Source organism: Homo sapiens, chromosome 14 (genome assembly GCF_000001405.40).
Source record: "Homo sapiens chromosome 14, GRCh38.p14 Primary Assembly".
In the NCBI taxonomy this organism is placed as follows: Eukaryota; Metazoa; Chordata; class Mammalia; order Primates; family Hominidae; genus Homo; species Homo sapiens.
The window spans coordinates 22,474,042-22,499,370 of record NC_000014.9 but is presented as its reverse complement, the minus strand read 5'-3'; the positions used below and the strand labels follow the sequence as shown (position 1 = coordinate 22,499,370).

The window sequence follows — 25,329 nt, the reverse complement described above, 5'->3', positions numbered from 1 at the left end:
CATCTAGGATTCCCCCCGAGAGCCAGTTTATGAGCCACATAAACAAACCCATGACATTATTTTATAGTTACATCTATTTTTGGATCCAAAACAGTATCAGTAACTAGTCGATTCTCTCCTCTATTTAATAGCCTTGGTTCTGAAAGGATTTTGATTATCAAGAGTAAAATCCACCTTTAAAAGATAAAGCCATCATGGATGCTACAAAAAGAAAGTGTTTTGGCCTTTGAGGGTGGTTTCAGGGAGGGGGAAAGCAATGGACAGTGTTGGATGCTTCAAGCTGAGTGTTTTGACTAGGCCACTCATTGAAATGTATAAACTCGATTTGTTAACAAATCAGCCCCATTACCTTATTGTCACAGCTGGTTCGTGTGCAGAAGATTGTTGATGAAATACTACTGAAATGTGAGATGGCAGACATTTTTGCAAACAGGGTGCCTGCAGGAAAGCACCCCTGTTTCTGTAATTCTAACAGAAAAAAACCCAATAACAACAAAAAACACACTGAATTCTGCAAGTGTGGAGACAGCTTGTATAATTTTCAATATTGCTTTTTATAATCTATCACGATTACCCTCTCCCTCACAGCTTCACAACTTGGATAAATATTCTGTTTTATTACAGATAATCTAGTGGACATGGGGAGGCCCTCTGCAGTCCTGGGATTCTCTGCCTCTCCCATAGGGTTGGCTTGGCCAGCCTAGTTAAGGGGGTGAAGTCCATGTGGGGGCCTGCTTTGTCCCTACGGTGAGGAAGGGGGCTACCTAAACAGAAGCATTGATGTGATAAATCAAGGGCTCTGTTCTCTCTCTAGAGAAAGTTACATTGTTCTGCTATTCTCGTAGAGGAAGAAAGCCATGCCAAGCTTGGAACTCCTGCTGCCCTCCCTTCACTGGAGTCCTCAGTCCACTCGCCTTATTTTTCTGTTTTTCTTTCTTTTTGTTTTTGAGACGGAGTCTCGCTCTATCACCCAGGCTGGAATGCAGTGCCACGATCTAGGCTCACTGCAATCTCTGCCTCCCGGGTTCAAGAGATTCTCTTGCCTTAGCTTCCCAAGTAGCTGGAATTACAGGTGCCCGCCACCACGCCCGGCTAATTTTTGTATTTTTAGTAGAGATGGGGTTTCATTATGTTGATCAGGCTGGTCTTGAACTCTTGACCTCAAGCTATCCACCTGCCTCAGCCTCCCAAAGTGATAGAATTACAGGCATGAGCCACTGTGCCCAGCCCACTCATCTTATTTTTTAATTCTACCAGACAACACAAGCATCAACTCAACAGGGTCCTTGCCACTTATCTGTTGAGGACACACTTCCTTGGCTATGCCATTGCTTTGGTAGCTTCCCTTTTCATGGCCTTGTTTCTGTCTCTATCACAAAGCTTTGCTTCTTATCTCTGCCTTTCCCAAAGCCACAACGTGCTTTGTGGACCTTTGAAAAACAGTGATTGCAGCATTAGTACAATTTATCAAACTGCCCCGAGACCTGATAACCAAATCCAGCCTCCAGGGAAACATGTATTCATATCTTGCTCACACATCAGACATAGTTAACAACTGCATGCTAAGCATAGCAATTAAATTCAGCTGTGTTTCAACAGGTCCCATTGGATTTCTTTCCAGAGAGGACAATTAGTAAACCACAAAAACTCACGGGGTGTGACCAACAGCGAGGTGCCTTTGCCGAAGTTGAGTGCATACCCGGAATTTGAGTTCCACAGTGCGTTCTCCCTAAACAAAAAACCCCTTGCAGTAGCCACCATGTCCCTTCTCCTATGATTCCTATTAAAGCTAATGTCTGAAAACCAATCACACAGCAGTCACACAGACTGTGGGTCATCCATGGGCCCTTGATGGTGTAAATAAAGCTTCCCTCTTCCATGAGACCATTGCTGACAAGGTCACCACTCCCCACAGTGATGTGGGTGATCAATATTGAGATCTGCCATCTGAGGGAGGGGGCCCTGTGACATGTTATGAAGTCTGGAGTTTTCCTATGTCCAGCAGAACGACGTGCTGGTCTGGACTGGGAACAGCCAGGGGCATGGACAGAAACAATTCTGTGGGGTTCAAGGGTGAAGGTGGGGGGAAGATATCACAGAGAAAGGAGTTGGTAAGTCTCTTCTCACTCACTCTGCATTGCACTTTAGTTGCACTTACTGCTTTTGTTTTCACTTCACCAATGTTCTAACAAGTTAAGGGTATAGGATGTTAAGCAAGTTTCCTTAGTGTGTCTCCAAAACAGTCATTGGAAGGTCATTCTAGCCCACTTCATCCCATTACACATAACACATATCACTCTGGAAAAGTTATCTGAGTATTCAGGACTCTCTGTTCTCTATTTGAGAGCCCTTTCATTCTGTTGCCCAGAGTGACAAAGTACTGATGATAAATCAGGACTTTGAATCCCCAACACTTACTTGGTTTAACAGAGAGTTTAGTGCCTTTTCCAAAGATGAGATTTCCTTGGCTTCCTCCATAATTCACACAGTCCTATGGGGCTTTACAATAATCAACAGGTGGGAAGGATGGAGGGGAAGGCTGAGCAAGTGAGATCACCTTCCCCTCTAGTGGAAGTCTCCCCACCTTGCAGCCTCTGTTTCCAGTTCCTTTGCAAGGTCAGGACAGTTCTCTAAAATTAACAGCTGGCTGTGCAGATAGATCTGAACTTGATCGTAAATCCCCTGTTTTGTTCCTAGGACACTGGGTTCTGACAGAATGCTTGTGCCAGAGGCACAATAGCAAGGTTGGGCAGAAACATCCCACCCAGCACAGGAGGTCAACATTGAGGTCCCAGGGGCTACTTTAGGGACCAGGAGCACCATGCCACTTTCTCAGCCATATTTCTTTTTCTTTCTTTTTTTGAGATGTAGTCTCGCTCTGTCGCCAGGCTGGAGTGCAGTGGCACGATCTCGGCCCACGGCAACCTCCGCCTTCCGGGTTCAAGCGATTCTCCTGCCTCAGCCTCCTGAGTAGCTGGGACTACCGGCGCATGCCACCATGCCCAGCTAATTTTTTGTATTTTTAGTAGAGATGGGGTTTCACCATGTTGGCCAGGATGGTCTGCATCTCTTGACCTCATGATCTTCCCGCCTCGGCCTCCCAAAGTGCTGGGATTACAGGAGTGAGCTACCGCACCCGGCTTATATTTAGCATTTTTATATATCCAGAGCCAAGCCAATGAAGAAACCAGTGAAATTTTCTACTTCTTCTTGACCTAATCCTTAAGATTGCCAGAATTCATCAACTAACAGACTTCCAACCAGCTCAGGGTCTCAGGCACAAAGAAACCAGGTACTTAGATCCTCTTGGGAGTGGCAGTGTCTTAACCCCACAGAAACTGCCCAGAACAGCACCATTGCTCACTCAGGTCAGCTTTTAAGATTGACCCATTCCCCCAACTTACTTGGTTTTACTGTCAGTCTGGTCCCTGCTCCAAAGCGCATGTCATTGTTATTGTCACAGTAATACATGCTCTAACAAAAACCTCCTGGGGAAAACTTGCAGCCACCTCCCAGCATGGCAGGGACAAGGGGGAGCAGCACTGACAAGTACCACGCCACACACAGTTCCATTCTCCTTTTCCTACAGAAATGGGGTCATTTTGTCATGCTTCTAGACTGTAAATATGGGCACTTATCAGTGCACTGAGCACAGTTAATTGAGACCCCAAATTGGCACACTGGGACATAATCAGCTTTCAAACAGGTCCCCAAATGGTGCATAAACCAACACTGCAAACAAATTATGCCCAGGTACACTATTTGTCTTCAGGGACAACTTTTTATGAAGAACTACCTGAGAACTTCTACAATTTGCATCTTACTCATGGGTCAAAATACTCAAACTACTCATCTATGTAATTTCATATAAATTATCATGTATTTGTTTCATAATTGCACATAATGAAACATGGCAGTGCTTTGGGGGAGAGGAGTTGGCATTTGTTTATGTTCTTAGAGGGTCAAGATTTTGCTTTACTTCACCAATGTTCTAACAAGTTAAGGATATAGGATGTTAAGCAAGTTTCCTTAGTGTGTCTCCAAAATAGTCATTGGAAGGTCATTCTAGCCCACTTCATCCCATTACGCATAACACATATCACTCTGGAAAAGTTATCCGAGTATTCAGGACTCTCTGTTCTCTATTTGAGAGCCCTTTCATTTTGTTGCCCAGAGTGATATCATCAGAGACAAAGTCCTGATGATAAATTAATTCCCAAACCACTGTTCTAAAGGAAATACATAGGGTAATAAAGACTGAAGAAGCTTGGAGCAGAGAGGTTCTGTTTTCACAGGTGGAAAGGAAAGCCTCCGTAACAGGTATAAAAATAGCACAAGAACTGACTGAATGCAGGTATGTGTCCTCAGTGAGATCACCTCCCACTGGAAGGAAGGAAGGACTACATCCAGCCAGGATATCCCCTCTGCAGTATCCCCTGTTTTAAAGGAACACACAGTTAAGTTACCTCACGGTTTCTGTTACCTACCGAGCGTGACCTGAAGTCTTGTTCCAGTCCCAAAGGTGAGTTTACTGGCAGTGCCGGTATTTACACTGTGAGATGCTTCATAACAGAAACCTGTTGCTTGACTTTCCATCTGGTGTTCACTCCCTCACTCAGAACTCTCCCCATGATCTCTCCCAGATGGGCAGCCTGGGTGAGCCCTCACAGATGCATTTCCCTTTCCCAAACTCCACAGTATTAATTCCTATGAGGGCAGCTGGGCTCTGGCCAGATACTCACTTGACTAACATTACCTGCTGGTTGCCCTCTTTGACCTCAGTTGGTCATGGGGTGCTGACTAGATGGTTAAGGCTGAGGAGTTGTCAAGTTCAACTCTGAAGACATTGAGAATTGAATTCTTTGTCCTTTCTGTTTCTGGGTTTTATCTTAATGAATCCCTCTTGTCATACTTGATGAGTGATGGGGCCGAGAAATCAAATGATTAATAACTGCTCTAATTTAAGGTCCCTAAGTCAGGCAGAGAAGAGGGTATAAAGACAGAAAAGGAGAAATGGCCAAATCTCTATCTACACAGCCATTTCCACATTTCCTATGAAAGCAATTTTCGTTGCAAAGGTGCTGCTGGCAAAGTGGCCTCCATTTGTTTGTGACCCATCCTAAGCTCATATCTTTTGTCTGCTGGCATCCAGATTTTCCAATGAGGGACTCCTACTCAAACACAGTTGCCAAAGGGCAGATCTCAGGAGTCCTCCAAAGCACAAACTGCATCACCTCCTTGTCTACATGGCTCAAAACCTCCCATGTAAGTAGGATAGTGCCAAAAATGGTAGTGGCACCAGAAGCACATGAGCCAAGGTTTAGAAATGTCCCCATGAGGACTGCATTTTGAACCCCACCTCCCAGGCAAAAGCACTTACAGGGCTGGATGATTAGATGAGTCCCTTTGCCAAAGGTGAGTCCGTCAGCACCTCCTCCTGAATACACACTCTGGGCCAACCCTTTACATAAACTCCTCTGCCAGAAAAACTCATGCCCTGAACCTCCCGTAACCTCCACAGCTGCTCTGAAACCCACAGACACCAGGTACAGCTAATAGCCCTGGTCATTGCTACTGGTCACTTCTCCCTCTCCTCTGTTGCTGGCATAAAAGCTTGAAACACACATAACCAGAGTAAGGGCCCTGGAGATGATGACTGCAGTTTCTTGACACACTGCCAACCAACTGCATCACTGTTGGCTTCTTTATGAATGTGGACCTGGCCACAGGACCCTCATGTAGGACAGATGGGAAGAACGGAGGGCCCTTAGCCACAAATATTAAAAGGAGTATGAAAAGACACTATGGTTTGTTGATCTGGAATCCAAAGGAGGACAACTCAAATGTCAGGCTAGAACAAATAATAGGAAAAGGCATAAATATCTTACTTTCTGCTCAGACTTACTGGGCCTAACTGCTAAACGAGTCCCGGTCCCAAAAGTCAGCTTGTCTCCGCTGCTTTTCTTCTCACGGCTGTCAGCAGCTTTACAGAAACAGGGCAGACACCTGTCACCAGTGTCTCCTCACCAACCTGTCTACCCAGGCTATTTCATGACACTGATCCCACAAATGCCCTACAAGGCCCAGCAGTGTGCAGCTTTTCTTACACATCTCTAAGTCACGGGCTCGGGATAAATCTCCAAGCTCGAAACTACAGATTGAGGTTCCATTTTGGAAGTCTAGACACCCAAACAGCAAGCACTGTGGTCTACAGAGATGGTGACAATTTTTTTTTCAAATTTAACTCAATTTTCAAACTGTGGGTCTCACCAGTGAATGGATGTGATTAACGCTCTCGAAGGCAACCCATGGAAATTCTTAATGAATCACACTAATGAAATGCTTGCGTTGCGCTTGGAATTTCACTTTTCCTTTCTTTAGAATCAAATACTTCCCAGCCAGAAAAAGTTTATTTAATATGCAATGAAACCCAGGTTGGGACTTGAGTGTGTTTTATACTCACAGGACTTGACTCTCAGAATGGTTCCTGCGCCAAAGACCAGTTTGTTTCCATATTCCACACAGCGTCAAACTCCTCTACAAAAACAGTGGTTGAGCATGGGTGGTGTGTGGGGCGGGGCTAAGCTACTCGGTTCTGGAAACAGAGGACTGTTCCACTTTGCATTTAGGACCTGTTGATATTTGCCCAAGAAGCTGAAGACATTGTGATAATTGCAGAAACTTGTAAAAGTAAAAAGGCCAATTGTTTATTGGAATTTGGCTTCTGTCTGCTCTTTGCTGCTTGGACTAGGATAAATGCTACAACTCCCCCAAGGTTTACTGTATCTTTTCTTTCCGGATTTTTCTAGTCTTCTAGCCAGAATTTTCTTTCATCTCATTAATTCTAATCATAGCCCCTTGTGCCAAATAATTCCACTCTGCTATGATGTCCTCCAGTTTCAAAACCCTTAGCAACTACCAACCACTAACAGCTTCTGGAAGCACGGCTTGGAAAACGAACTTGTTATAGCTGGCTTCCACATAAAGTTTTCAAATATTTGGGGCTCTGGTTTAGAGCCCCTCTGACTGTCCCTTGCTGGGTAATGCATTCTTATGCTGAGTTGCTCTTAGTAGCAGTGGGATTTTCCCTGCGTGTGTTACGTTCTCACCTGGGGACGGTTTCCTGAACGGTTGTGGCTACTATAGCACCCGTGGGAGGGAGCAGACTAACCGTCACTGGGTCCCTCCAGGTCCCATGGCTCAGCTCTGCTGCAGTCTCACTTTGTAAGTCTGGAACTCTCTGAGCCCCCTGTCCTTAGATACAGAGTGAGGAGAGACCATTTTTCTATCTCATCCAGAAAGAAGAAAAAGACTTTGATGTTTAAAGGTGCTTTATCCAACCTAGCTAAGAGGTGCTTTGTAATGTGATTGTCACTATAAAAGTCTGACCTACCCAAATCCTCAATACTCATGCCTTTAATTTCTAATGCAGCAAAATAGAAAAAAGATTCTTCTAGGCAACTGAGTGGTTAAGACAGAAAGGTTCCATACTTCCAGTTCTCGCTGTTGCAAGCATGCTTTCCGTTCCATTTTGTGTGGTTGTCTTTGGTTACAAAGTGAACATATTCAAATTTTCCACAGCTTTTAATTGTAGGTGCAAAAGAATATATTTGCCCATGTTTCTCTCTACATTCTTCTACCCTGTGTATATATATCCAGTATCTCTCTCTTTCTCTCTATCTCAGAAATAGTTGTTTTTAACAGTTAATTCCGTGCCTCACCCAAATTGTCATTAACTGTGTATATATATCCAGTATCTCCCTCTCTCTATCATTTATCTATCTCAGAAATAGTTGTTTTTTTTTATTATTATACTTTAAGTTTTAGGGTACTTATGCACATTGTGCAGGTTAGTTACATATGTATACATGTGCCATGCTGGTGTGCTGCACCCACTAACTCGTCATTTAGCATTAGGTATATCTCCCAATGCTATCCCTCCCCACTCCCCCCACCCCGCAACAGTCCCCAGAGTGTGATGTTCCCCTTCCTGTGTCCATGTGATCTCATTGTTCAATTCCCACCTATGAGTGAGAATATGCGGTGTTTGGTTTTTTGTTCTTGCGATAGTTTACTGAGAATGATGATTTCTAGTTTCATCCATGTCCCTACAAAGGACATGAACTCATCATTTTTTATGGCTGCATAGAAATAGTTGTTTTTAACAGTTAATTCTGTGCCTCACCCAAATTGTCATTAATTAAATGCAGATGTGCTGCCACACTGATAAACTTCATTGGAAAAAAACAAAAAACCAAACCCAGAGATTTCCAAGTTTAAACTTTCCCCCTGAGATCAGTGCTTAGTTTTCTATTTAGATAATCCTGCCCCACCCGGAGCACTAGCTCTTAGCACCTTTCCCGATACCTTGCCATTTGCAGAGAGAGACACAACACTGAATTAGTTTTGTAAAATTATACTGCCTGACGTTCCGTCTGCCTGCCTCTCTGGGTCTCTTGGTTTGCTTGTCTCTTTGATATTCTATGTTTCTACCATTTCTCCCAAACACTTGCAGTACTCAAAGCTAAAATTATCACACAAGATGAAAGTGAAGATGCAGTCATTCTGCCTGAATTCTCTTCACATGCCACATTAGCACTTGACGGCAGCAGCAAAAACAGAATTGTGAATCATATTTTCTAGTTTTGAATTAAATAGTCAGGACTGGAGTTCCCCCGGAAAACTCAGATATTTGGCTGCCACCTGTCTCTACCAGTTATGAACAAGGACAGATGAAAATTCTCTAAGCCTGCATCTCTACTATGATCCCCAGAATCTTATGCAGGCTGATTTCCTGACCAAGGATGAAGAACTTACTGGGTATGATGGTGAGTCTTGTTCCAGTCCCAAAGGTTAATTTCTCATTTCCAAAGTTAGATACACAGTGTTCTAAGTCATTGCAAAAACCATCATTCTAAACTCTCCAGACTCTACTGCAAGCCCCTGCCCCGTTTCTTGCAAATCTCCTTCCTGCAATGCTTCCACAACATCAAAGGCACCAATGACCCTTTCCTACCATTTCCTGCTGGAACAGCTGAGAGAAACCAGAATGAAAGGCTGTAATTAGGAGAGGCTTGACATGTGCGATCTGTTTTGATTTTTCTGCCACATTTTTCTTCAGAGGGAAACAGAAATCCTCTTTCTCTCTCCAGGTGGTATCTATCAGTGCATCCCCCAGGTCTAAATACAAGAGCGATCGTGGACCCCCTGCCATCTTTCTCATCCTTTTATACCATCCCATATTCGATTTTCTGTAGAGTCACCTCATTTCCCATCTAGCCTCCTAGTCCCTCTCCTCTCAGTTGAGAATGTCCCTCCATTCTCTGCTCCTGAGGCTTGTGCTACAAAGGGCCCAGCTTCTCTGGTTGGCACAGATGTGGGGGTGAGCTAGAGAGGCCAGCTGTCACTGCAAGTGACATCGCCTGCCCCCCCACTTCAGGAATGTTCAAGGAACATTCTCTGGGTTTGGTTTTTTCTTTTTTTCCAATGAAGTTTATCAGTGTGGCAGCACATCTGCATTTAGTTAATGACAATTTGGGTGAGGCACAGAATCAACTGTTAAAAACAACTATTTCTGAGATAGATGATAGATAGATAGATACATAGATAGCTGGATAGATAGATAGACAGATAGATAGTTCAAGGAATGAAATAAAGACCTGTCCAAGCATAAATCATTCTCGGGGTGGGTCGGGGGCCTCTTTACTCTGGTCCAGATAAAGTTATACCTAGAAGCAGAGAAATAGAGTAGCAGACTTTGACAGCTCTTTCTGCAGTTTAAAGGGTTTGCTCAACACAATGGTGATGGAAAATTTTCTTTGACTTACTTGGAATGACCGTCAAACTTGTCCCTGTCCCAAAATAGAACTGGTTACCGGTGTTCCACTGTGATAGGAAGCTCAACAAAAACCAGGCAGAAGAGACAGCCAGAGGTTACACCTGGGGCCCCACCAAGCGGCGGACCAAAAGGCAGACCGGTAGGCAGGCAGGCAGGCAGGCAGGCAGGCATCTCCTTTCCCTGTGCAGGCACAGGAGCAAGGGTATTACTGGGAAGGAGCTCCAGGGCTTAGAGCAGCTGTGACCATGTGCAGCTGGAGGGACTGATTCCTCCTGAGAGGGGATTAAAAGGAAGGCTAACGTGCATCTTGTGCTGCTTGCTGTCTAATTAAAGGTGTAGGTCCATTTGTTTTATGGACCTACATTTAAAAACTTCTTTTTCTTTTAAGACTTAATTTCTCTCCTGATGATCATATGATTCTGAAGTGGATTTTAATCAGGACTTCTTATTATATCTTTGGACTTTATTTCTTTGTGAAACTTATGGAACAATTCATCTTCTCTAGATTAACTCCGTATGAGGCTCTGATCACCTTCCTTCTTCCTGACCTGCCTCATTTCCCTAGCACCCCTATCATGCAATGTCCATTGCTTATTCCCCCACCCCTGTTTATCCCCCGTGTGCAGTGAGAACGTGCTGATAGACCACAGGTTGTTTTTCAAATTGCCACGTTCAAGTCCCATGTTATCTATGCTACCTTTTAAGGACTAAACCTATGTTTGCTATTCCGTGACCTTTTTTTCTGATCAGAGTCAATGTATCTCGATTCTCTCAGTTTTGTGTCCTCAACCACGATGCCATCTGCACAGTCATTTAAGCCCTAATGTATGAGACTGTTAGCCCCAGCGCACTCCACAGGCAGCACCCCAGGGACACTTACTTGGAATGACTGATAAGCTTGTCCCTGGCCCAAATATCACCTTGTCGTAGGAGGTTTTCACACAGCCATCCAAACCTTTACAATAACTGACAGGTGACTCTTAAAGATTTTAGAGCCCAGTCTTGATGCCACTTCAAAAGGCATCTCAGGTAAGATTCAGCATTACCTATAGGATCTGTGAGTTGGAGCCACAGTGAGGCTAGATTCTGTTGGGAATGGTAGGAAACTTGCTAGGATTATATGCAATACATACTTCTTCACCTTTGTGTCATTACAATTTCTCACATGCTGCTGGTTTTAAAAAGCATCATTGAACTCCCTGTCTCCTCCTCACTTCTCTATTATTCCCCAATTCACACAACATCCCCATCTGCATCTCATTTCTGTCTCTAAGCCCTAGCTTGGTGACACCAGGTCCTCAGGCACCATTGATCTGCTTTCTCTGAGATAGCATATGCTCACTGGCTCACGTGATTAAAGAACTGGAAATGCCAGGCTCTCAGAGGCTGAGATCTGGGCTCCCAACTCCTTATCTCTGGTCAATATGTTGTTCTCATTTGTCTGCCTAATGAAGAGCTGAGCTTTCTAAGTGGATGCATTTTGCTGAAATGACAACTGCCAGAGAGATAACAACAAAGGCTGAGCTCTGAAGGCAGTTTTGACCTTTCAGATCCCTTTGGCATATTTCAGTCAATAGGATCCCTAGCTCAAATGTCAGTCTCTCAATGTTGGCTCCCACACTACTGGGCTTGGAGAAACTCAACAGAAAATGGGCAATATTGGTCCAACCTGCACCCTGCTCATTAGAACCAGACTTCACTTGGAGGCATCTCACACATTCAAGATGATCACAACAACTCAACATTCAGCCTTGTAGTGGCACTGGCATATTCCAAATCCACACCCACCTGGTATGGATTTATGCTGCCACTGAATGGAGCAGATACAGCTGGCAATGTCAGGTGGCCTCCTCCATACACACTGAGCTGGGATTGTGCTGTCTGCCTGACCAACTATGCCTGCACAAGGGCAGCTACTCCAGAAATATAGGGACTTGACTCATCCCTTTGGCATAAGAGGACACTGCCCTTGATAGAGATCCTAGGAAAACAGAGTGTTCTGCAATAGCAGCTGGAGCGATCATGCCCTTCTCTGACACCCACCTCACATCTCAGTCTTATCAAGCTGCAGTGAAAGACATATTCCTGCTTTTCAACTTTGTTTCCCTTTCTGTCTCTTATTCCTTTCATTTATCATTTCTGAGCACCCACGGGGCTTCAGACTCTCTTCAATCCATTTCCATTTGACTCTCTTAGAATCCCTACAGGAAACAGCCAAAAGGCCTGAAACGGGGAAGGGAGCAAAAGTACATAAGGAACACTGTGAGTTTAGGTCTTTCCAGCTTGCTTGGCTTCACAGTTAGTCATGTCTCCTTTCCAAATATCAGCTTCTCATAGCTGTCACGCATCTCCCTGCTTCAGGGAGTTTTACAACGACTGACAGAAGGAACTTTATGAATCTTAAAAAACAGTCAAGTTTCTGTCTCTTCCCAGCGGGGTGCAGCGGCAAACACACCAAAGCCAAATCTTTCTATCTGCTCTAATTATCAGCCAGGATACAAGTCACCACAAGGAGAAAGGTATTAAGCCGTGTATCTGAAACTCTTTGGAATTAATTGTAATCCCTTGCCTGGTGGTTTCAGTGACAGGGAATGGACACAGTGGATGTTTATTTCTGTCTATCCTTTCTCTCCCCGCCTCTCTCTCTGTAGTTTTGCATCTATAGAAGCAAAAGGAGATGACAGACAGGAAACAGAGAGGGATTTGAAATAAGACCTCAGATTCCCATTCAGGTTTCATTTTTTCCCTCTCCACTTTCATTTAAAACCCATTCTGAACCAAATACCACATACCTATTCAAACTCCGCTCTCAATTTTCCTCTTTATTGTGGATGATGCTGGTGGAAACGGCCTCGGCTATACCAAGAATAATTTAAGATTGAGGTAAGGAAGGACTTCTGACAGGGAATGCTACTAAACATTAGAACAGGTTACTCAGGGGAGTCATTTGGAAAGGATGACCTCCCCCTCAAAAAAGTTAGGGCATCACCTCCAGAGAAGACACTGAAAGCAGGAAAGATTCTGACTTTCCAGGGTCAAGGTCAGCTGTACACGCAGCAGGGAGACAGACCTAACAACTCAGGGTCCAAAAGAAAATCTGTGAATATTGAGGTTAAAGAAGAGAAAGGACCTCAGAGGACACCACTTAACTTTAAGCAATATCTGGTTCTTTAAAACCTGACACTGGGGTGACATTCCAGAATTTCCAGTATACTGCTGTGTCTTGTTACACTTACTTGGATGGACAGTCAAGATGGTCCCTTGTCCAAATGTCAGCTTTCCATAGCTAGTACCACCAGCATTAGCACTGCACTGGAGGCCTTTACAAGAACCCTAGGGGGACTTCTGAAGCTCGCAGACTTCCTCCTCTTTTAATTCTGGGGAGAATAAACTCACCCAAAGGGGCCTGGGTCTGTGAGGCTCAGTTTCATCCCACCAAAGGCTGGAAGACCATTTCCACCTCTGGTCCTGGGACACTGACCTGCTGCGTCCCCCGAGGTCCGGCTTCCTGCCTCCCATCTCTCTCCATTTCCTCTGGTTTTTGTCTTGAGGCTTACTGATTTCTCATGTTCAGCATCTCTCTTTCTAAAGGTCTCATTTCCATTTTACAGCATCATTTTCAGGACAATTTCTCTGATCAGTTTTCAAGACACGTCCTCCCCTCCCCTCGAGGTGTCACACATTTCTGATGACAATGAATTGATTACAAGGAGACAAGAGGAGAGTGTTCAGCTTTTTGGAGAATGACTAGAATTAGATGAGATTTAGACTGTAGCCTCATGAAACAGGATCTCCTGAGCTTCCCTTCATGCCCTAGCATAAGAAATAAAAATGATGGGCACATGTAACTGAGCTTTCACACAACGTAGTTTTTTTGTCAGTCTTGAATTTGGTGAAATGTAAGTAGTAGCTCACAGAAAAAAGTTTTTATCTGTGCCTTCTTACGGTGATTAACTATCCTGGGGATCATTCTGGGCTTAGCAAAGAATGACCTTTGTCCTGGAAAACCCCTGAAACCCAGGAAAACCAGGACATCTGGTTACTCCACAGTCTCACCTGAGGTGTTCTGACCTCACAGAGCAGCCCGGTGACCACAGTGGTAGGGTTAAGTGAGGTCTCTATTAGGGGCAGGCTTTTGCACATTTACTTGGGGTTCCTGTAAATTTCATCCCTTGACCAAATAATGCTTCTGTTGCCAACAGACACAACCACAGGAATCCTGGGAGTCACCCTGGCTGTGTCTGGATGTCACAAAAAATGTGAAGAGCAAAATCCAGGCAGTTTCATGATGTGGTGATGATCAAACCCTGTCCCCCAGGGGTGTGAAAAACAGACACCTCTTTAATAGAATTTAGTTTTCTTAACTCAGACTTTTTTTGGGCTGAATTTATGCTAGCCTGTTTAGTCATGTCTTCAAGCAACCACTTGTTACAAAGGGTTAAAGTTTTAGCTTGCTTACTATCATGAAAAGGGTGAGAGAAAAAGGCTATTATTTAGCTAAGAAGACGTATCCATTTTTTTTAAGGACAGCAGTCAGGGATTCAAACGACCCTTCCCATCTCTTCACTATTTCACAGTATTCACTGTCTAAAGGGCTTCCCACCCTCTCTTCAGCCTCCGCAGGACATAAGCAAAACCAGATGCCTGCCCTCAGCTGAGGTCCTCAAACAGACAGGCACCCAAAGTGTTGCTGTGGCAATAATCTCTGTGTTCCACTTACTGCAGGAAAACAGAATTTAATCATGGGTTCCTTGGACTCCAGCCTTGCCATATAGTTCCTGCAGCTAGAATCCACTGCATGGAAAATCTGGCATACGATTACTGTCCAGAGCTCTGGAAGAATGCTAGCCTTGCACAGATATTTTCTTTGCCTGGTTAGGCTGTCAAACACCCTGACCTCGTCAATGTTTTAAAAGGTAGGAGTTGTTACAGTTCTCAGTCCCCTAAGAGGCTGACCAAGTGCTGAGAGGGGCTCCCAGCTTCTCTGCATTCTGGAAAACCCACCGCAGAGCCCCGCCCTAGTGTGCTTCCGGTAAGAAACCAAAGAAAAAAGCCTACTGTCTGGTCCCTAGCATTGGCTGCCCACCCTCTGAAAAGCGACTGAGTCCTTGAGTCTCCTGGGATGTTCATATGAATCCCCTTGAAGCTTTAATTTGATAAGACCTCAGTGGAGACTGCTGAACCCCTGGGATTTAACATCATATATTATTCATTGTTGCTGTTGCCACAGACGTGCTGATTTTGCCCCTGCTGAGCAAGGCACTTCTGCACATGGGAACTTGATGGCTAACCACACTGCATGTTCTTCAGGCAGGGCCTATCCCAGAACGTTCCAAGCTGTCTGCTAGCAAGTCTGCATTAACTCCCTCAATGCTGCATGCACGGTGTCCCTGAGTCCTTCACCACCCGCCCCGCCACCAGAGCCAGTCTTTTTAAGAATTTTGCCTGGGCTGTGTTTTTCAAAGTGCCTCTCTCTAGTGTGCATCTCTTCTTAATCACAGAAAGCAGATCTGAGTAAGTAAAACTGGGGCATTTGGCCTTTACTCAACATCAGGGCACTTAGGAGACCGGGGCCCTTTGATAAGTTTTTCCCATTTTCATTTTATCTGAATTTTACAAGTCAGTCTTCTCCAGCCTTAGTTTATAAGCACCACTTTCAGAAGTCCACCAGCAGCGCAGATTTTCAAGAAGTGCCATTAGCAACCACTGTGCCTTACTTTTATATCTAACATTTAAAAACTTTTCTAAGTACTCACACATTACCATTAGGGAAGGGTGGGTGTATATTTGAAGGAGAGAATGTACTGCTCTATTCTCACGACTCAGAGGACAGATGAATTTTCCCCTTCTCAGGTGAACTAAGTAAAGTGGAGGCTGAATCCACTATTTTGGTAACCAAAGAAAAAGTGGGGTTAAATGCTCTGCCTGAGTTAACCAGACAGTTAACTGACTGGACCTCAGTTACCAGACTGGGGATTGAGAACAGTTCTTTTCAGAGAGGTAAAGTGAAGGTAAAAGAAGAAAAGGAGCCTGCTTATAGAATTTTCAGCATTAGTTAATGAAGTTGCAGGGTTCCATTATTTCAGGCGATAAATTTAAGAGGAGTGTTAGTATCTAAGTCAGGACAATTTATATTTGGTCTACTGCATTTGCGTAGTCACGATATGCCAATTTCCTCTTTATCTTTTCGGCAAACATTTCCTGACCCTTAGCTGGATCCCTCAGGATTCTGTATTCAGTTTTTCTCCTTGCACCAATAATCTTGTTTAAGATGAATGATAGGAATGTTTTGGGCTGAAAGTAATTTAGTCTTTGTACAGTGGAGTTCTAATCCCTCTGATGGGCACCATATCCCCCCAGCACAAACATTAGATTTGGAACCTAAGCTGGAATGTTTTGGAGGGGCAAGTAATTAAATCAGAAGTGTTTGAATTCCCCCTTCCCCCACTCCCTTCAAACTTACTTGGATTCACGGTTAAGAGAGTTCCTTTTCCAAATGTCAGTTTATAGTTGCTACCTCCACTATTCTCACAGCCACAGAAGGCTTTACAGAAACAGGAACAGAAGCTGCTCTTTGCAGAAGGGTCCTGGGGGTCAATATAGTCACGATTGCTCAACTCTTCATTAAGCTACAGGTTTATAGGTTATTTGATAATAAGTCCAGAATGCAGCTGCTGTAGGTGAGTGCTGGAGTTCCAGAGGACAATATATCATATATATATAGATATATATATATGTATATATCTTTAAAGTTTTTGAAATTTAATTTTAATTTTTTTTTATCATTTTCTTTGTGACTAAGCTGCCATCATGGTTCCAGTAATCCATTTCTTTCTTTTTTTTTCTTTCCTAATTATCTTCCCTTGGCTGGTACTCAGATAGTTTCTACTTTTTGCACTTGTTGGGGTAACTATTTCTCTGCTTTTTTTTTCGTTGAAATTGCATATCAATTCACCGGATTCTGATTTACTAGAAACTGATTGTAGAAGGGGAGGGAAGCGAGACAGTTTTTACAGGGAGGTGTTTAAAAGTGGAAATTTGAGGGCTTTCCTGTCTTTCCTGGTCTGCTTCTCTACAAAGGACAATGCAAAATGAGTATACGTCCCTCAAGGAGAGCTTGCAGGACACGGTCTAGAAAGGAAAAGACTGTACTCAGCTGCATGTAGCTTCACCCTGTCATACTTACTTGGGTTGATAGTCAGCCTGGTTCCTTGGCCAAATACCAGCTTCTGGGCTCCCTGAATTACACCACAGCACGAGGCTTTACAGAAACTGCCAGCGAGGGCCCACCTCTCCCCACTGAGGAAGACATATGATCTGCCCTCCTAGCAGTCCAGGGCTGTGGCAGAGAATGGCCCGAATTTCACTGGCCAGAGAAGTTTAGGACAGGATCTCCTTGGGCTGCTCATTTTCTCTTTCACAAAGCCTCCTTTAGCAGTTGTAGACATGGTCCAGATTTTCCAGTTGCCTTGCCAATCAAATATTTAACATCTTTGTTTTCACCCCACAGAATTTTAATTTTTTTTTAAAACATTTCTTTCATCTTTTACAGAGCTCTCCCTAAAAACAGCTGGATTAAAAGAATCTTTAAAGTCAGAGTCTACTAGGTCTCCCGAGTAAAGTTAATCTGGCTTCCTCCTTAAAATTTCCGGTTTGAATGCGAGGGCCTGCTCATCTGGGACCTAATTTGTCGTGCTAAGACAGGAAAGGTGAAAAGGCAATGCAGAAAATCCAGGGGAAATCCTGCACTGTGAGATCTTCTTGTCCCTCCACACTTACTTGGATTTATTTTTGTACTCATCCCCTTTCCCCAACAGGAGCATTACCAGCACTTGTCACTAACAGGGATCCATCCTCCAAATCAACTCTAGAGACTCCCACCCACAGGAATTTTAGTGTGGAAACAGACATGGTTTCTTCCTCTGCTCAGGGAAATTTAATTGAAAAACCATTTCTAATTTTGCCAAATGGAAAGGATTAGGAGAAAATCTGTTTGCCTCTGTTCTCCTTCCTCCTCCCCCTTCGTCTTCAACAGTTTTAAACTATTTATAGAAACATCCCTTTAGGGTTAGAGAAATGTGGCAAATTTCTAATCTCTTCATCCTTTTTCTTGCTATCTATTTACCGCAGTCATGTATTTACAATCTAAATTTACATTTCATTTCCATTTGCAGGAGCTTCTAATGCACTTCTCTATTACTTCAAGAACACTGTGTATAATAATAAACTCTACAGAAATAAACCAAATCACAAGAAGCTTTCAGGTCTGGAGGCTGACATTTCTCAAGACAGGTATGGGGCAAACAACTTATTTCTCTTCCAGGCAAGACTAAGATAGGGGCAGCCCAGTCAACTGAGCAACTAGGCTTGCAGGGTGGACATGTTATGTCTAAATAACTATCTATTGAGCCTTGCTCCTTGGGATTAATTTGGATTTTCTTTTTAATCTAGTTCCCAAATACCAGCTTCCCATCTTTTAGCTCTTAGAATCTCTCTGACAGGGAAAGCTTAAGTTAAATCTCATGGGGTTTTTGAATCTCAACAAATATTTCACCTCAGTACACATCACAAATAGAGGCAACAAAAGAAGGATGAATATAACACCTTTGGGAGAGAATTTATAACAGTTCTTTGGGAAAGATGGGAATTATAAGAAAAAGTAGAATTGTGTGTGCTTTTCCTGATTATCATTTTTAGTATCTGCAGGACTGTAAATGTCCAGTCCAGTTTGGAAATGGAGCAGCTGACTCACCTGCTCTTTAGACCTTTGTTAACCAGTGAACACACAGGTTAGCGTGGAAATGCTTTTCTCTCTTATGCTGTTTTAGGCATAAGAAACTTTAGGAAGGTCGCATGGGGTTCACATAATACATACTAGGACATTCTGATTCTAGCCATTCTAATGGGGATAATAATTTGGTCATAAAAGTAGTTTTATTTTAAGATACTCATTGAATAGTTGGTATCTTTTGGGAATTATGAGCAAAAGTTAAATCCCAAACAATTGTTTGAAATGAGCTTGCATTATCATAGAAAGCAGAGATTCCCTCATGGAACAAAATTTCAGCTACATTCAAGTTAACTGAAATTAGGTTTGTTTTGAGAATGGTGGAGCAATACTCAAAATATTCCCCCAAGTATTGCATTTGGATTAGGGAATCCTTCTCTAAGCTTAGTTGCCACCTTTTCAATGAGGGACTCAGAAGTGAGTGGGTATCAAAAGGGGCTTCTCTGGTGCAGAAAGCTCAGACAAGGCAGAGATGAAAATGTTCCATGAGGACCCAATTAGAAATGCAGCAGTTAACAGCACCCTGGGGCTTGTTTTCAGAAGTTCGTGGTCTTTCTGACTAATTTGAATATTTGCTTTCAATCTTAACTTTTCCCTAAATATCAGCTTGTAGTCAGTGTCAGTACCAGAAAATCTTACACGGCTTTACCCAATTTAGCTTGGCTCCAAGATTTTGAGTTATGGGGATTAGACAATTCTTTTCCTAATTGCACCAACATGGAAGCTTTGGGAAGACAAGTCAGCTGACACGGAGTGCTGGCTCAGTTGTTTAATCAGCAGGCTACATCTCACTGTTTCCTTTTGGATTGGGTTGCATTGCATACTCCCAGCCATTGGTATGTATTTTAGTCTAATCTGTCCTTCTTTTGTCCTTTCTAAATGCTTTCTGCCCCTACACACTAAAACTTCAATTCAGATTCCATTTGTCAGACACATATCTCCAACATTAACAAAAACACACTGAACATTCCCAAGTACTTAAAGGTGTTAAAGAAACAGTCCCAAAGGGGCTGCAGTCAGGGGCTGCCCACATTGTCATTTTCTCCAGAAAGACCCATGGTGAAAGATGCTAATAACTGGGCAGGAGATTCGGTTATCTTTCACTGAATTTCTAAGGATGGTGGCTTATGTTTGGAAACAAATAACATTCATTAAAACATACCTGGTCTAACACTCAGAGTTATTCCTTTTCCAAATGTCAGCTTACTATTGGCTCCAGTATAACACAATGACACGAGGATCTACAAAAACTCAGTTGCCCAGACTCCCCTTGATATTTACTTAAGTGCTTACTTGTCATCCAAGAATCCCCCTGATAAAACCAGCTGTTTATAGTGTGGGACTGGTGGAAGAGTTTACGGACCACCTGGGGCCTTCCTTTCTCTTCACACTCATTGTCCCCTTATTGGAAATGTACCAACATCCCCTCACAGCACGCCGGCTGTGGTAAAATGGGAACAGGAACTGCCTCCCCCATTCTACAGAGGAGGAAAATAGAGGCTCAGAGAGTTAATCAATTTTCTCTTAGTCCCATGGAAAATCTCACCAATTATAACGAAGAATGAAGCCTTCGAACAGTCTGACTCCTTAACTCAGTGCTCCATTGGTACTGTCATTCTCAGCTATTAGATAAAATAGCACATGAGGGCAAACAACAGAGACCTGCGTGTAGTAGGAATACACCAGCAGTTGTTTTGCACTGGAATCCATTAATGGGACTGCTGTGGTTTGGACCTGGGTTATAAAACAGAATGGAAAATTTGGAAATCAGGGTTCCAGGGAGAAATTTGGAAGCATTATTCAGACTTACATGGGTTTACTGTCAGTTTCGTTCCCTTTCCAAAGACCAGCTTTTCAGATCCGCCCTGAGTTACACCCCCACAGACTGCTTTACAAATACTGCCAAGACCCTTCCATCATGGGCTGGGAGCCAGGGCTCCACCCACTCTCCCAGGGGAAGCATAAAATTATACAATTGTATAGCTATTCCCGAAAAGGGAGGGGACCTATAGAACAAATCTGATTACTTTTTTACCTTACAGCCTGTTAGGTTGTTATCTTATTAATTAAGTAATTAGTTAATCTAACTGGTCAGCAGTTGCAGTTAATTTAAAAGAGCTCAGGCTTTGGGGCAGGTAGGCTTGAGTTTAAAACTCAGGACAAGTTTCCTAACTTGCTACACCTCAGTTTCCTCACTTGTAAAGTGGGGAAAACAGCAACTGCTTGATGATGTTGTAAGGATTAAGAATATGTAACTGGGTCACCGTGGTCCTGTTGACCAACCCCTGGCTTTACTTGCTGAGAGCGCAGTTCTTTAGCGATTATCTTAGCAACCTTAGAGACTAGAGCATCAGGGACATTCCCTCTAGACATAATCCCCTCACTGAAAAGCTTTTAGCTCTGGAATCTGAGTGCCAAGAATTAAACTCCAGGTTCTCTTTCTTACTTCATCGGCTTGAACAAGTTATTCAACATCTCTGTGCTTCTATAGAAATATAAAATATAAATATATCTCTTCTATAAAATGAGGATAATAATAGCACCTAACTCACAGACCTGGTATAAGGATTAAATGTGATAAGAGAAAGAATGCAGCACATCAACTAGCATATAGAAACCAATGAGTAAATCATCATTATTATTTTCCTCCCAAGCAGGCAAACATATCACCAACGTTCCTCTTTCCACAATGACCTAAAAATGAGAAAGCCCTTGGGCACTTGTCTTCCTCTAACTGCTAAACTAGAAGGGCTGTGAGGGCACAGAAGAGCCACCAAGCAGTTTGGTGAAGGGGTTGCGTGATTTTGTGAGAGGTTAGAAAAAGCTGCATCCCACTGCACACGTGCACATCCGTGAGCATTGTTTAGCCAAGCAGGACTTGAATGTGGCAGAGATGGGGCAAGAAGCCATATCTCAATTCATTGGCATAAAATGGATACATTCAGGCAGAGGATTCAATGCTCCCCTCCACTTACCAGGATTCACTGTGAGCTGTGTTCCTTCCCCAAAGGTCAACCTAGAGCCACTGGTTTCTTAAACACTGTGCTGAGGGGCTTTGCAAAAACCTGTGGCATCAGCTTAACGAACCCTGCTTTGCAGAGCTTCCCAAGAACTAGAATTTTTCTCCAACTTCTAAGCTTTAGAGGAAGGATAAGTCATGGTATCTTTCTTTCCAGTAGCCTAGGGCTTCAGGCCTGACAGATATGTCCAGAGATATGATTTTCACTTCAAGACACCAGAAGGCTCAACAAGCCAATTCTGTATACGTATTCTATGGTCCAAAACAATCACACCGCTGATGCAATCTATCATAGAATATCAACCCCACTGGGAAAGAAATTAGCTCTACAGAACTTATAGGTAGTGTTCTATGGTCATAATCATTGTCTGAACACAAGACTAGCATTTTCATTTTGTTTTTTTCACCCTTCTCTCAGTCTGCAGATGGCTGCACCTTTCCCCTAATATCAAGTTCAATTATTGTTCCACTTTAGCTTGCTTTTTTTTTCAACAGACGCAGAATGATTTTATTTCCCTTTGGAACTCAGGATTTCTTTTTGAGTTCATTAAGTCTTGGGTAAAGAATGTTTGGGATGCAAATGATGCTGCCGTGGCCAAGGACTATGATGTTTTTTTCTCCCTTGGGTCTGGGCTGGTGAGAACTATGAGCTGTCTTGGCTTTGCCCTGGACCTTGATATCAGGATCAGTTGTGTGACCTTGAGCAAGTTCATAACCTCTCTGAGTTTCACTGTCTTCATTTGCAAAATTAAAGAGGTGGGTGAGGAGATCTTTAATTACTTTCTGAGCTGAGAGTCTTTGATTTGATTATTTGGATCTAATTTATCCAGAAATGCTGTGCAAATGTCCCTGCCCTCCCCACTCACCACCAGGGTATCTAATCCTCTTATTTCCTAAACAAAATAAAATGATCAAACAAAAGAAAAGTAGTTCTCTACTTTTTACATAGAGAAATAGAGTTTTCCAAGCCTACTATCTGATTTAACATTTGATCTTTTTAGAAGTTTGAAGTCAGAATTTTGCAATCAAATCCTCAGGGAGAAGTGTTCTTTCTTTGGAACTTCCAGATAATTCAAAAACCAAACCAAATAACCTGACACCTTTGGTTTAAAGATAGCTTCACTCTCACTTGCGTCCCCATTCCAAATGTAAATTTCCTGTTTCCTTCCTTCCCACAGGAGCTGCTGCCTTTACATAAACTACAGACTCTTGCTTACCCATAGGAAAGGTGGTTTGATCTTTACAGCCTTTTCCCACCGGATAAGAGAATTCATTATCTGGCCAAGTGTTTCAGCCCTCTGATTGCCAGGTGTTAGGTATAGAGGGGTTCCGCTAAAGCTACCTCTGGAGTTGAGGTACTCACCCAGGCTCACAATTAACTCAGTCCCCTTCCCAAAGTTGAGCATCTAGGTGATCTTCACATAGTGCCCAGGCCCTTTACCAAAAGCCCCTGTTGGTGCTGTGCTGTAACTTCCTCCTCTCAGACCCTGGTCATGTCTCTAGCATGATTAGGGATGCAAGGGGGACCAGCATCGTGAACAGTCATCTGGACTTGAACCTCTCCTATTCATACAGCCTGGGATTCAGGCTGTGAGGACAGCAGGACCAGCCACGTCAGGATGGTCCCAGGTTCTCTGGCTACACAAGGAACTCATGTTCTGAAAACCTAGCAGGCTGCCTTTTGTTGTCCACCCTGCTCTACAGATTTATAAGAAGATAACGGCCTGCTGATTTACGGCTTGTTCTGACCTAGGCCAGGGAAGGAGACGCTGGTGGGCCACCAGGGATGCCAGGTTCCCTTTTTCATCACTGGAAAGACAAAAAGTACCACTTCTTTGTTGACTGCTGGGAGCCTAATTGCAGAAACATATAATTCTTAAAATACTTTTCCCCTGTAGATTTTACAGGTCAGTTAAGAAAATATATAATTGGTGAGATAAACCTGCCCTACAAAAGAATAAAATACATGCTAAAGCCAATCATAAAAGAATATTTGGATTGCCCGGTGTTTTAGGTTACCCATGCTGTTGGGCACATTTTCTTCTGAAGCTAAGCTACTTACCCAGGGCCGCTGTGGTTAACCATGTCCCGGTCCCAGAGGTAAATCTGTTGTCATTTTTCATCCCACCTCTGGCCCGTTGACAACCCCCCAGCTCCCTTAAGGCAACGATAATGTTTCCTCGGAAACTGACTCAGATGATCCATGGGAATAACTGTAGGCTCTTAATAAATATTTGTTAAATTGAATTGTATTAAACACTCATCTTTTGTTCCTGTTTGTTAAGGCACATTAGAATCTCTCACTGATAATTTTCAGATAGAAAAAAAAATTCTGCCAAATATTACTTGCTGAGTTTCATGATTCCTCTAGTGTTGGCTCCAAATGTCAGTTTCCTATTAACCCGGTACCCACAGGAGTGGGCACCTTTACAAAAACCAGAGGTGTCAGCATGGTTGAAAGGGATGTGGCATCACCTTTGTTGACAGAGGCACCCCTCTGTTCCCCACAGGAGCCCCATTTTGCCTTGGAGAGGGCTGCCCTCTTTCTGCCTTTCAGAGCAGAGATAGGAGAGAGCAGAGTGTATTTCAGGGATGAAGACAATGAATAAGATAACAAAATGTTATCACACTAGACAGAGCCTTCTTCTTCTTCTTCTTTTTTTTTTGGCCAAATCGATAGTGTCCCAAAGGCTGTTTTCAGCACTTTTCTCTCTCCCAGATGTAATAATAACCGGATTTCAAATGGCATATGGGCTTGGACCGCCAGGCTCTGATGAGTCACACATAGTCAACCAGGAAATTATGCTACCCCCCAATGAAGAAACATGTTTTCCCTTTTCCTCCTGCTGGGCAATGAGGAGTTCAAGCAACATGCACAGGGGGATATGAACTAATAACTCTTGGGTCAGTTCTATAATTTTACACATTAGCATCCTAGAATGTGAGACTTGGAAGGAAATTTAACAGCTGCCTGGGCCAATGCCCTCATTTTAGAGATGAAAATGCTGAAGCTCTGCGGGATAAATTTGCTCAAGGTCATGTAGATAGGTAGAAGCAGAGCTGGGACTAGAACTCCGGACACCTGAGTTCCACTCCCGCCTTGTGTGACTCCCTTTATGTGACTCAGGAGAACAAGGACCTTCTTTGGGTGGTCTCTGTCCCCAGGGGCTCTGCCAGCTGGCTCAGGGTGTGATTATTCCTGCTAATTATACAAGGATGAGTCCACATAGGAATAAATCACACCAGGGAAGTGTTTGGCCTTGACACATTGTTTATGATTTTAGAGAGAATTATAGAACGTTCTCATTTATTTAAAAATTTTATTTCTTAGGCTGCAGGCAACAGCAATTGATAGCAGGGGAAATGGTCCATGGAAAAGACAGAAATGGAAAAATTTGCCCTTTACCAAAAGGACAATCCAATGGAGAATTGGCTCTGATTATTCTTTCTCTGCAGGACTCATTTCAGGGAATGACATCGAGAGCAGGAATGGGAAATACAAAATGGTGTGGGGTTGCCTCCTGCTTCTGCTCCCTTGGTAAATATTGCTAATAAACACATCACTCTCTTCCTCTGAGTATAGATGTGGCCTCAGAATCTTTCTTACCAGCATGCTCCGCATAGTCTCTACCAATTGTTAGCTCTTGATAATGGAGATATAATCTGTTTGCCCTCCCTGCCCTG

At 43.3% G+C, this 25,329-nt stretch overlaps 1 long non-coding RNA gene, 3 pseudogenes, 18 gene segments (V, D, J or C) and 1 further gene, besides 6 other annotated features; 1 reads left to right on the top strand and 22 right to left on the bottom strand.

Annotated features, from left to right (window-relative positions):
• Positions 1 to 25,329, bottom strand: part of TRA (T cell receptor alpha locus) — a 930,229-nt gene that overhangs the window by 52,762 nt on the left and 852,138 nt on the right.
• On the bottom strand, positions 1,653 to 1,714 carry TRAJ41 (T cell receptor alpha joining 41). The segment is given in 1 exon segment: positions 1,653 to 1,714. A coding segment is annotated over 1 exon segment (62 nt), but the record flags the coding sequence as incomplete, so codon positions are not given.
• Positions 2,419 to 2,484, bottom strand: TRAJ42 (T cell receptor alpha joining 42). The segment is given in 1 exon segment: positions 2,419 to 2,484. A coding segment is annotated over 1 exon segment (66 nt), but the record flags the coding sequence as incomplete, so codon positions are not given.
• TRAJ43 (T cell receptor alpha joining 43) lies at positions 3,405 to 3,458 on the bottom strand. The segment is given in 1 exon segment: positions 3,405 to 3,458. A coding segment is annotated over 1 exon segment (54 nt), but the record flags the coding sequence as incomplete, so codon positions are not given.
• TRAJ44 (T cell receptor alpha joining 44) lies at positions 4,488 to 4,550 on the bottom strand. The segment is given in 1 exon segment: positions 4,488 to 4,550. A coding segment is annotated over 1 exon segment (63 nt), but the record flags the coding sequence as incomplete, so codon positions are not given.
• Positions 5,311 to 5,370: an enhancer, noted in NCBI's record as "active region_8121". NCBI's record gives its function as "activates an Ori minimal core promoter by ATAC-STARR-seq in GM12878 lymphoblastoid cells {active_cell/tissue: GM12878}" and the evidence as "EXISTENCE:reporter gene assay evidence [ECO:0000049][PMID:35858748]".
• TRAJ45 (T cell receptor alpha joining 45) lies at positions 5,381 to 5,446 on the bottom strand. The segment is given in 1 exon segment: positions 5,381 to 5,446. A coding segment is annotated over 1 exon segment (66 nt), but the record flags the coding sequence as incomplete, so codon positions are not given.
• Positions 5,401 to 5,450: an enhancer, noted in NCBI's record as "active region_8120". NCBI's record gives its function as "activates an Ori minimal core promoter by ATAC-STARR-seq in GM12878 lymphoblastoid cells {active_cell/tissue: GM12878}" and the evidence as "EXISTENCE:reporter gene assay evidence [ECO:0000049][PMID:35858748]".
• TRAJ46 (T cell receptor alpha joining 46) lies at positions 5,906 to 5,968 on the bottom strand. The segment is given in 1 exon segment: positions 5,906 to 5,968. A coding segment is annotated over 1 exon segment (63 nt), but the record flags the coding sequence as incomplete, so codon positions are not given.
• TRAJ47 (T cell receptor alpha joining 47) lies at positions 6,464 to 6,520 on the bottom strand. The segment is given in 1 exon segment: positions 6,464 to 6,520. A coding segment is annotated over 1 exon segment (57 nt), but the record flags the coding sequence as incomplete, so codon positions are not given.
• Positions 8,687 to 8,756: an enhancer, noted in NCBI's record as "active region_8119". NCBI's record gives its function as "activates an Ori minimal core promoter by ATAC-STARR-seq in GM12878 lymphoblastoid cells {active_cell/tissue: GM12878}" and the evidence as "EXISTENCE:reporter gene assay evidence [ECO:0000049][PMID:35858748]".
• On the bottom strand, positions 8,818 to 8,880 carry TRAJ48 (T cell receptor alpha joining 48). The segment is given in 1 exon segment: positions 8,818 to 8,880. A coding segment is annotated over 1 exon segment (63 nt), but the record flags the coding sequence as incomplete, so codon positions are not given.
• On the bottom strand, positions 9,828 to 9,883 carry TRAJ49 (T cell receptor alpha joining 49). The segment is given in 1 exon segment: positions 9,828 to 9,883. A coding segment is annotated over 1 exon segment (56 nt), but the record flags the coding sequence as incomplete, so codon positions are not given.
• Positions 10,719 to 10,778, bottom strand: TRAJ50 (T cell receptor alpha joining 50). The segment is given in 1 exon segment: positions 10,719 to 10,778. A coding segment is annotated over 1 exon segment (60 nt), but the record flags the coding sequence as incomplete, so codon positions are not given.
• Positions 11,157 to 11,216: an enhancer, noted in NCBI's record as "active region_8118". NCBI's record gives its function as "activates an Ori minimal core promoter by ATAC-STARR-seq in GM12878 lymphoblastoid cells {active_cell/tissue: GM12878}" and the evidence as "EXISTENCE:reporter gene assay evidence [ECO:0000049][PMID:35858748]".
• Positions 11,247 to 11,406: an enhancer, noted in NCBI's record as "active region_8117". NCBI's record gives its function as "activates an Ori minimal core promoter by ATAC-STARR-seq in GM12878 lymphoblastoid cells {active_cell/tissue: GM12878}" and the evidence as "EXISTENCE:reporter gene assay evidence [ECO:0000049][PMID:35858748]".
• Positions 12,126 to 12,188, bottom strand: TRAJ51 (T cell receptor alpha joining 51 (pseudogene); annotated as a pseudogene). Its single transcript has one exon.
• Positions 13,075 to 13,143, bottom strand: TRAJ52 (T cell receptor alpha joining 52). The segment is given in 1 exon segment: positions 13,075 to 13,143. A coding segment is annotated over 1 exon segment (69 nt), but the record flags the coding sequence as incomplete, so codon positions are not given.
• Positions 14,489 to 14,538: a silencer, noted in NCBI's record as "silent region_5584". NCBI's record gives its function as "represses an Ori minimal core promoter by ATAC-STARR-seq in GM12878 lymphoblastoid cells {active_cell/tissue: GM12878}" and the evidence as "EXISTENCE:reporter gene assay evidence [ECO:0000049][PMID:35858748]".
• Positions 16,302 to 16,367, bottom strand: TRAJ53 (T cell receptor alpha joining 53). The segment is given in 1 exon segment: positions 16,302 to 16,367. A coding segment is annotated over 1 exon segment (66 nt), but the record flags the coding sequence as incomplete, so codon positions are not given.
• The window catches only part of TRD-AS1 (TRD antisense RNA 1), a 103,555-nt gene continuing 94,637 nt past the window's right edge, over positions 16,412 to 25,329 (top strand). The window contains exons 1-2 of the long non-coding RNA NR_148361.1: positions 16,412 to 16,518; positions 18,013 to 18,130. This is a non-coding gene — a long non-coding RNA (TRD antisense RNA 1). The remainder of the gene's footprint in view (positions 16,519 to 18,012; positions 18,131 to 25,329) is intronic.
• Positions 17,025 to 17,084, bottom strand: TRAJ54 (T cell receptor alpha joining 54). The segment is given in 1 exon segment: positions 17,025 to 17,084. A coding segment is annotated over 1 exon segment (60 nt), but the record flags the coding sequence as incomplete, so codon positions are not given.
• On the bottom strand, positions 17,618 to 17,674 carry TRAJ55 (T cell receptor alpha joining 55 (pseudogene); annotated as a pseudogene). Its single transcript has one exon.
• TRAJ56 (T cell receptor alpha joining 56) lies at positions 19,789 to 19,850 on the bottom strand. The segment is given in 1 exon segment: positions 19,789 to 19,850. A coding segment is annotated over 1 exon segment (62 nt), but the record flags the coding sequence as incomplete, so codon positions are not given.
• On the bottom strand, positions 20,437 to 20,499 carry TRAJ57 (T cell receptor alpha joining 57). The segment is given in 1 exon segment: positions 20,437 to 20,499. A coding segment is annotated over 1 exon segment (63 nt), but the record flags the coding sequence as incomplete, so codon positions are not given.
• Positions 21,602 to 21,664, bottom strand: TRAJ58 (T cell receptor alpha joining 58 (non-functional)). The segment is given in 1 exon segment: positions 21,602 to 21,664. A coding segment is annotated over 1 exon segment (63 nt), but the record flags the coding sequence as incomplete, so codon positions are not given.
• On the bottom strand, positions 22,765 to 22,818 carry TRAJ59 (T cell receptor alpha joining 59 (non-functional)). The segment is given in 1 exon segment: positions 22,765 to 22,818. A coding segment is annotated over 1 exon segment (54 nt), but the record flags the coding sequence as incomplete, so codon positions are not given.
• Positions 23,009 to 23,065, bottom strand: TRAJ60 (T cell receptor alpha joining 60 (pseudogene); annotated as a pseudogene). Its single transcript has one exon.
• Positions 23,996 to 24,055, bottom strand: TRAJ61 (T cell receptor alpha joining 61 (non-functional)). The segment is given in 1 exon segment: positions 23,996 to 24,055. A coding segment is annotated over 1 exon segment (60 nt), but the record flags the coding sequence as incomplete, so codon positions are not given.